This window comes from Homo sapiens, chromosome 1, assembly GCF_000001405.40.
Source record: "Homo sapiens chromosome 1, GRCh38.p14 Primary Assembly".
In the NCBI taxonomy this organism is placed as follows: Eukaryota; Metazoa; Chordata; class Mammalia; order Primates; family Hominidae; genus Homo; species Homo sapiens.
The window spans coordinates 9661557-9671382 of NC_000001.11; the positions used below are offsets into that span (position 1 = coordinate 9661557).

A 9826-nucleotide genomic window follows, 5' to 3' on the forward strand; every position below is an offset into this window, starting at 1 on the left:
TTAAAACATTTTTTTTAGTAGAGGCCGGGTGTGGTGGCTCACACCTGTAATCCCAGCACTTTTGGAGGCCAAGGCGGGTGGATCACTTAGGATCAGGAGTTTGAGACCAGCATGGCCAACATGGCGAAACCCCGTCTCTACAAAAAAATACAAAAATTGGCCGGGCGCGGTGGCTCACGCCTGTAATCCCAGCACTTTGGGAGGCCGAGGCGGACGGATCACGAGGTTAAGAGATCGAGACCATCCTGGCTAACACGGTGAAACCCTGTCTCTATTAAAAATACAAAAAATTAGCCGAGCTTGGTGGTGGGCACCTGTAGTCCCAGCTACTTGGGAGGCTGAGGCAGGACAATGGTGTGGACCCAGGCGGCGGAGCTTGCAGTGAGCCGAGATTGCACCACTGCACTCCAGCCTGGGTGACAGAGTGAGACTCTGTCTCAAAAAAAAAAAAGTTAGCCGGACATGGTGGTGCATGCCTGTAGTCCTAGTTACTCAGGAGGCTGAGGCAGGAAAATCACTTGAACCCTTAACCAGGGAGGCGGAGGTTGCAGTGAGCCGAGATCATGCCACTGCACTCCAACCTGGGCGACAGAGCGAGACTCGATCTCAAATTTTTTTTTTTTGAGAGACAAGGTCTTGCTATGTTGCCCAGGCTGGTCTCGAACTCCTGAGCTCAAGAGATCCTCTTGTCTTGGCCTTCCAAAGTGCTGGGATTACAGGCGTGAGCTACCACGCCTGGCCCATTCACGGATCTTTTTGTGGTCATTGTCCAGTGTTAGCCTAATGATAACAGCCTGGCTGGGATGAATGCCAGCGTGGACAGTCGTGCCATTAGACTTTTCCCCCTGCACTCGTTCAGTGTAGATGACGTATTTCTTCCTTTAAACCTGGACCCGCTTTGCTGGTTTGCTGGCCTCTGTGGTGTCCTCACACAACCTGAACTTAGGCTTCTGCCTCAGCTCTTTGGAAAGAGGGAAAGACAATCTCTCTTCCTGCGAATATGGGAAGGTGCATAGAAATGCCTTTTGTGGTTCTTGCTGTGGTTCTAAGTCACGAAGGTATTGAACTTCATTTTGGCCACTCCGGCTTCGGTGATGGCCACAAAAGTGAAGAGCGGTTCCATTACTTTTTTCTTTCTTCTTTTTTTTTTGAGACAGCATCTCGCTCTTTTTCCCAGGCTGGAGTGAAGTGGCAAGATCTCGGCTCACTGCCATCTCTACCTCCCGCGTCCTAGCAATTCTCCTGTCTCAGCCATCTAAGCAGCTGGGATTACAGGTGCATGCCACCACGCCTGGCTAATTTTTGTATTTTTAGTAGAGACGGGGTTTCACCATGTTGGCCAGGCTGATCTCGAACTCCTGACCTCAGGTGATCCACCTGCCTTGGCCTCCCGAAGTGCTGGGATGACAGGCGTGAGCCACTGCACCTGGCAGCGGTTCCATTTCTTTATCAAACTATTGCTCTGCGGAGGCTGTCTCTCTGTCCAGCCCATAGCTGGACATTATGGGCTGTACAGCGTGTTCTGTGGTCTGAAGAAATGACAGCCATCCAAACCCACACGGTGTCTTCTGTTCTGGTTTGGCTCTGGCGCTCTGAGCATTTGCACTTTCCACTGGGTAAGCAAAGCCCACTCCAAGTCAGCGTCTATTCAAGACCCAGTCGTAGTCCCCAGGGCTACCAGCCTCAGTTTCACTTGCCAGCCATGTTCAGGGCCTCCCACCAGGGAAGCTACCCCACAGCCCTGTGCAGTGTCTGTCTCTCTCACTGGCACACAGGACAGTTCTTCCTGGCATTATGTGCCCGAGAGGGTGCGGAGGAACATGCTAGATCCAGCCCATCTCTGCACCGCTGTGGGGCCCGTATCCCCTCATTTCACGGACCCAGATGGCCATCTCAAGGGAGCATGTGGGATATCTACCTGTTGATATCTACCTGTTGATTCCTGTCACCTTCCAAACCTAGAAGGCTCTTCTGGTGGGCATTAAGAGGTCTGACTTTATTTACTTTATTTTTTTATTTTTATTTTTTTAATATTTTTTTATTATACTTTAAGTTCTAGGGTACATGTGCACAACGTGCAGGTTTGTTACATATGTATACATGTGCCATGTTGGTGTGCTGCACCCATTAACTCGTTATTTACATTAGGTATATCTCCTAATGGTCTCCCTCCCCCCTCCCCCCATCCCAAAACAGGCCCTGGTGTGTGATGTTCCCCTTCCTGTGTCCAAGTGTTCTCATTGTTCAATTCCCACCTATGAGTGAGAACCTGCAGTGTTTGGTTTTTTGTCCTTGCGATAGTTTGCTGAGAATGATGGTTTCCAGCTTCATCCATGTCCCTACAAAGCACATGAACTCATCCTTTTTTATGGCTGCATAGTATTCCATGGTGTATATGTGCCACATTTTCTTAATCCAGTCTATCATTGATGAAGAGGTCCGACTTCAATGCACCCCTCGTTTTCTTTCTTTCTTTTTCTTTTTCTTTCTTTCTTTTTTTTTTTTTTTTTTGAGACGGAGTCTCACTCTGTCGCCCAGGCTGGAGCGCAGTGGCATATCTCAGCTCACTGCAACCTCCACCTCCCGGGTTCAAGTGATTCTCCTGCCTCAGCCTCCCAAGTAGCTGGGACTACAGGCAGACATCACCATGCTCGGCTAATTTGTGTATTTTTAGTAGAGACAGGGTTTCACCATGTTGCCCAGGCTGGTCTCAAACTCCTGGCCTCAGGTGATCCACCTGCCTTGGCCTCCCAAAGTACTGGGATTACAGGCGTGAACCACTGCACCCAGCCTACCCTCATTTTCTATAGGGCTGTGTCCCAAAGAAATATCCGTTTAATAGGTCAGGTTTGCATTGCCCTCCTGTCTAAATGTATGGCCAGGCTGTTGACCACCACCCACAAGGGGAGGGTGAACTGGCACCCAAAGCCCTGCACAGATACAGGGGGTTTTACCACTGTTCAAGTCTCCCATCACTGCTGGGAAAACAGCATGCAATTCGACCCTTAGAGCTGATTTGTTTTTACCATCTTTGATCAGATTGGCATCTTTGCAAACGAGGCATTGTTCACCTTGGAACTGCTAGCCACCACCCCAGCAGCTCTCGTTTGGTCAGGGAGAGTTGTTTGTTGGGCGCTACAGAATCCAGCTGCTCATCATAGTGCCAGAGTCAGTCCTAGGGGAAAAGAGGATCCCTGCTCATGTGAGTATCTCCTCCTTGCCTTCCCCAGGTAATGCCATCGTGTATAAATGATTTCTGTTTTATTAGGGAACTCTTCTGGGCATTGTCATCCCTGTTAGAGTGTTTCCTTGACATCACCTGAGATGTCCTGGGTATTTCAGTCTTAAGATTATTTTATGTCCTAGCTGGGTGCAGTGGCTCACACCTGTGATCCTAGCACACTGGGAGGCCAAGATGGGAAGATTGCTAGAGCCCAGGAGTTTGAGACCAGCCTAGGCAACGTAAGGGAGACCCTGTCCTACAAAAAATAAAAACAGTTAGCTGGGTGTGGTGGTGTGCACCTGTGATTCCAGCTACTTGGGAGGCTGAGGCAGGAGGATTGCCTGAGCCCTGGAGGTCAAGGCTGCAGTGAGCCGTGATCGCACTAATGCATTTTAGCCTGGGTAACAGAGTGACAGCCTGTCAAAAAAAAAAAAAAAAAAAAAACCTGAAAAAGTAATTTCATGTTCTTCAGTCATATCCATCATAGGGGTAGCTTTGGTGAATGTCCCATGGCAAGGTAGTAAATGCCTCTCAAGAGGAAATGCTCTACTCCAAAGCCCCAGTAGTTACCTCATCTCTGGGAGATTTGGGTGCCAGTTCACCCTCCCCTACTACAGGCGCACGCCGCCATGCCCGGCTAATTTTTTGTATTTTGGTAGAGATGGGGAGCGCTCACAAGCTCTTGCCGTAGCTCTGGTTTACATTCCGCACAGGGCTGTGGAACAGAATTCGCTCATGCCAGTACATGCCGGCACTGCAGCTTCTATTCTACACTGTGTGGGCTTGGTGTGGACATTGACATGTCCAATTAATACTGCTTGAGGAGGGGATTTACACGCTTCCTGGTTTCCAATAGTAGGCAGGGGAAATATTCCGCAGCCAGATATTATATCCATTCTCATAAAATATTTAGGTAAAGGAGACTTCTTTCTGTTTAAACATTTCAGCTTTCGTCATCCTATAAACCCTTTCATTCTTTTTTTTTGTCCCCCAAGACGGAGTCTCACTCTGTCACCCAGGCTGGAGTGCAGTGGTGCGATCTCCACTCACTGCGACCTCCGCCTCCTGGGTTCAAGCTATTCTTCTGCCTCAGCCTCCCAAGTAGCTGGGACTACAGCTGCCCACCACCATGCCCAGCTAATTTTTGTTTTTGTTTTTGTTTTTTGACGCAGAGTTTTGCTCTTTTGCCCAGGCTGGAGTGCAATGGCACAATCTTGGCTCACTGCAACCTCCTTCTCCTGGCTTCAAGCGATTCTCCTGCCTCAGCCTCCAGAGTAGCTGGGATTACAGGCGCCCGCCATCATACCCTGCTAATTTTTTGTATTTTTAGCAGAGATGGGGTTTCACCATGTTGGCCAGGCTGGTCTCGAACTCCTGACCTCAGTTGATCCACCCACCTCAGCCTCCCAAAGTGCTAGGATTACAGGCATGAGCCACCGCGCCCGGTCTTTTTTTTTTTTTTTTTTTTTTTTTTTTTTTGAGGTGGAGTCTCACTCTGTCACCGAGGCTGGAGTACAGTGGTGCAATCTCGGCTCACTGCAACCTCTGCCCCCCCAGGTTCAAGTGATTCTCCTGCCTCAGCCTCTTGAGTGGCAGGGATTACAGGCACCCACCAGGCTAATTTTTGTATTTTTGTAGAGACAGGGTTTTACTATGTTGGCCAGGCTGGTCTTGAACTCCTGAGCTCAAGTGAACCACCTGCCCTGGCCTCCCAAGTGCTGGGATTACAGGTATGAGCCACCATGCCTGGCCGTATTCAAAGATTTTCTGATTGGCAACTCGTTGAAAGAGTTAAGCTTTGTCTTGAAATCAGTAGAAATAAATGCTTGAGGTCAGGTGTAGTGGCTCACACCTGAATTCGAGACCAACCTGGGCAACATAGTGAGACCCTCCCCCATCTCTACAAAATTCTTTTTTAATTTTTATTTACTTATTTATTTTTTGAGGCAGAGTCTCGCTCTGTCGCCCAAGCTGGAGTGCAGTGGTGCGATCTTGGCTTACTGCAACCTCTGCCTCCCGGGTTCAGGCAATTCTGCCTCAGCCTCCCCAGTAGCTGGGATTACAGGCTTGCGCCACCATGCCTGCTATTTTTTTTTTTTTTTCAGAGATGGAGTCTCGCTCTGTTGCCCTGGCTGGAGTGCAGTGGCATGATCTCGGCTCACTGCAACCTCTGCCTCCTGGGTTCTAGTGATTCTCCTGCCTCAGCCTCCTGTAGCTGGGACTACAGGCGTACACCGCCATGCCTGGCTAATTTTTTGTATTTTAGTAGATACGGGGTTTCACCATGTTTTCCAAGCTGGTCTCGAACTCCTGAGCTCAGGTAATCTGCTCGCCTCTGCCTCCCAAAGTGCTAGCATTACAGGCATGAGCCACTGCGCCCAGCCAAAAATTGTTTTTAAAAATTAGCTGGGCACAGTGGCATGCACCTGTAATCCCAGCTACTTGGGAGGCTGAGGCGAGAGGATTGCTTGAGCCCAGGAATTCAAGGTTGCCAAGGGTGATGATCACACCATTGAACTCCAGCCTGGGTGACCAATTTATCCCAGTGACATATAATAGTTTCATAACATCCTTGCCAGCATTGAATAATATTGAAAGAATTTTTTTTTTTTTTTGAGATGGAGGCTCACTCTGTGGTCCAGGCTGGAGTGCAGTGGCGCAATCTCGACTCACTGCAAGCTCCGCCTCCCGGGTTCAAGTGATTCTCCTGCCTCAGCCTCCCAAGTAGCTGGGACCACAGGCTCACGCCACCACGCCCGGCTAATTTTTTGTATTTTTAGTAGAGATTGGGTTTCACCGTGTTAGCCAGGATAGTCTCCATCTCCTGAACTCGTGATCTGCCCGCCTCGGCCTCCGAAAGTGCTAGGATTACAGGCGTGAGCCACCGTGCCCGGCCGAAATAATGTTTTGCTAATAGGCTCAGAGGTAATTATTTAAAACATATCTTTCTTTTCTTTTTCTTTTTTTTTTTTTTTGAGATAGGGTCTCACTCTGTCGCCCACACTGGAGTGCACTGGAGCAATCACAGCTTATTGCAGCCCCGACCTCCTGGGCTCAAGTGATCCTCCCACCTTAGCCTCCCAAGTAGCTGGGACTACAGGTGCTGCCACCATGCCTGGCTAATTTTTGTTTTTTTTTTTTTTTTTTTTTTTTAGTAAAGACAGGGTTTCGCCATGTTGCCCATGATGGTCTGGAACTCCTGGGCTCAAGTGATCTTCCCGCCTTCGCCTCCCAAAGTGCTGGGATTACAGGAGTGAGCCACCACGCCTGGTGTAAAACCTAGTTCTTTTATTGCCAATGAGTTTAAATAGCTTTCTTTCTCTTTACTGGCTGGATGTATAGCATGAGGTCTGCACTTCCTTAGTTGTCCAGTGAACCAACTCCCCGGGAGTTGGATTCATCTTGAAATTCAGTAATGCAGTAGTTAAACCCATGAACTCTAGTGGTGGGCAGATTCAGATTCAAACCGTAGCTCTTCCACTTCCCAGCTGTGTGACTCTGAGGTGCCTACTTAACTTCTCTGATCCTCTATTTCCTTGTCTGTAAAATGAACCTTAATGGGCCCATTCCTAGGTTTGTCTGAAGGATTAAATAAGGTAAATAGATAATGAACATCACCTTCCACATAGTTGATGCTCTGTAAATATTAGCTGTTCTTATTCTTTTTTTTTTTTTTGGTTTGGCAAATACTTTATTTTTATTTTTATTTCAGTAGTTTTTGGGGTACAGGTGGTTTTTAGTTATACGAGTAAGTTCTTTAGTGGTGATTTCTGAGATTCTGATGCACCCGTCACCCAAGCAGTGTACACTGTACCAAATGTGTAGTCTTTTATCCCTCACCCTCTCCCATGCTTCCCCTCATTCTTATTATATATTAATATAAATTAACAAGTCTCTGTTCTCCCTCAAGATTGATTTTGTTTTAATCTATAGCAGATTGATTTTTCTGCCTTAGAGGTAGATGGTCCCAGAAGGGGAGCTGACAACCTCTTTCTGTCCAAATAGACTGTGTCCTCGGCTGGCTGACTGGATCTGGGTGTGAGCCTCCCTGAGCAAGCCGGTGAACCTCTCCCATGTGGTCTTAGCTCCCTGAGCAGATGAGTAGGGGCTGACGGGGCTGTGTCTCCAGGACTCTGAGTCTGCTGTGGTCCTGCAGCCTCTGGAGCATGGAAATGGGGGCTAAGGACTCACTAATGGTTTCATTCAAGTCCAGAATTTGTCTTGGTGACTGTTCGCTGCTCACATCCAGATGACCCTATATGCTGTTTGGGAAACTGAGGCAGCCAGGTGGATTCCTCAGGTATTTCAGGGGACAGAATCTGGGGCTTTGACTCCAGCTTGGGTTGCTGCCCATAATGCCTGCTCTTGAAACCTTTTAATTATTTTTATTTCTAATTAACTTTTTTTGAGACAAGGTCTTGCTCTGTCACCCAGGGTGCAGTGCAGTGGAGCTATCATAGCTCATTGCAGCCTCAGTCTCCTGGGTTCAAGTGATCCGCCCACCTAGTAGTTGGGACAACAGGCATATGCCACCACACCCGGGTAATTTTTGTAGCTTTTTGTAGAGATGGAGGTCTCCTTTTGTTGCCCAGGCTTATTCTGAGTCAACATGAGTGACCATGGCCCAAGAAACAGTCTCAAGAGGTCCTGAGAAAGTGTGCCCAAGACGATTGGGTTACAGTTTGGTTTTATGCATTTTAGGAAGACAGGAATTGTAGGTAAAATCATAAATCAGTACATGAAAAGTATACATTGGTTCAGGTCTCAAACTCCTGGGCTCAAGCGATCTTCCTGCCTCGGCCTCGCAAAGTACTGGGATTACGGGCATGAGCCTGCGCCAGACCTCTTAAACCCTTCAGAGTGGCCTTGGCATTCGTTTTGAGGGGGCTTCAGGGAGCCTTAAGGGAGGAGAGGAAAGTCACGCAAACAGGGTGTGCTTGATGCCTGCATTTTCCTCTTTACTGCTGACCTGCTGTTGAGGAGGAAGTTAAGAACATCAGGATATTGGTCTCAAATGAACTACTTCATGAGAATTTTCTTCTAGGAGGAAAAACAAAAACCTCAACTTTCTCGTTACACATCCTTCTAAAAAAGTCCATTAAAAATGTTTCTTGCCAGGCGCGGTGGCTCACGCCTGTAATCCCAACACTTTGGGAGGCCAAAGCAGGTGGATTACCTGAGATCAGGAGTTCGAGACCAGCCTGGCCAACATGGTGAAACCCTGTCTCTACTAAAAATACAAAAATTAGCTGGGCGTGGTGGTGGGTGCCTATAATCCCAGCTAATTAGGAGGCTGAGACAGGAGAATCACTTGAACCTGGGAGGCAGAGGTTGCACTCCAGCCTGGGTGACAAGAGAGAAATTCCACCTCAAAAAAAAAAAAAAAAAAAAAAGTTCCTCATATTCAGAGCCAAGGAAAGGAGATGTACTCCCAGACCACAACTTCTGTTTCTGATGGTTTCAAGCATCCAGGAGCCATGACCAGGTCATGAATCTTTTTTTCCCTATTGTGTGGTGTGATGAGTATTTGAATAATACAGCCCATCTGCTGTCATTTGGAAACCGGTGATGATGTGTGGTCTATTTGTAAATTGAGTGCAGCACATCTAATATGTGATAGTTTCCTAAGATGTGAATGGCTCCATTTCTCCAGCAGGACCGTGTTTTGAAAATGAATAAAAGGTTAGCTTCAGATTAGCATTAAAAGCAAGAGTTTTAGAATTACAGGCTTCATATCTTGGCTTTGACACTTAACATGTAGGGGACCTTGACAAGTTATTTAAGTTTCTGGGTTCTCATCTGAGAATTAGGATGATAGTACCTCTTTGACTGGATTGTCGTAGAGATGTCGTAAAGATTGGAAATAATGAAACACCTGGACCAAGTTATGGGTACCCAAAAAGTTGCAGTTTTTACCATTGGATGAATGAATCTTTGAGGCCCACACTGTGGTAGGGAGTGGATTTTTAAAAAACAATTTGTTTTTGGTTTTTTTTTAGATGGAGTCTCGCTCTGTCACCGAGGCTGGAGTGCAGTGGTGCGATCTTGGCTCACTGTAGCCTCCACCTTCCTGGTTCAAGCGATTCTCATGCCTCAGCCTCCCGAGTAGCTGGGACCACAGGCGCCCACCACCACACCCAGCTAATTTTTGTATTTTTGGTAGAGATGGGGTTTCACCTTGTTGGCCAGGCTGGTCTCAAACTTCTTACCTCAAGTGATCTGCCCGTCTCAACCTCCCAAAGTGCTGGGATTACAGATGTGAGCCACCGCGTCTGGCCTAAAAATTTATTTATTTAGAAACGAGTCTCACTCTACTGTCCAGGGGCTGGTCTTTTTTTGAGATAAAGTCTCACTCCGTCGCCCAGGCTGGAGTGCAGTGGTGCAATCATATCTCACTACATCCTTGATCTCCTGGGCTCAAGCGATCTTCCCACCGCAGCCTCCCAAGTAGCCAAGAGTACAGGTTCATGCCATCACACCCCGCTCATTTTGTATTTCAATGGAAGACAGGGTTTCACCGTGTTGCCCAGACTGGTCTCCAACTCCTGGGCCCAAGAGATCCACCCACCTTGGCCTTCCAAAGTGCTGGGATTATAGGTGTGA

General features: G+C 47.7%; 1 protein-coding gene and 1 pseudogene across 24 annotated transcripts in view; one reads left to right on the forward strand and one right to left on the reverse strand.

Annotated features, from left to right (window-relative positions):
- Positions 1-9826, forward strand: part of PIK3CD (phosphatidylinositol-4,5-bisphosphate 3-kinase catalytic subunit delta) — a 101857-nt gene that overhangs the window by 34299 nt on the left and 57732 nt on the right. For 3 of the 24 annotated variants that reach the window (XM_047422552.1, XM_047422576.1, XM_047422562.1), the window contains exon 2: positions 3040-3202. The exons of the other annotated variants lie outside the window; for them this stretch is intronic. The gene's annotated coding sequence lies outside the window, so the exon portion shown is untranslated. The remainder of the gene's footprint in view (positions 1-3039; positions 3203-9826) is intronic. 24 annotated transcript variants of the gene reach the window in all.
- Positions 732-1072, reverse strand: RPL26P7 (ribosomal protein L26 pseudogene 7; annotated as a pseudogene).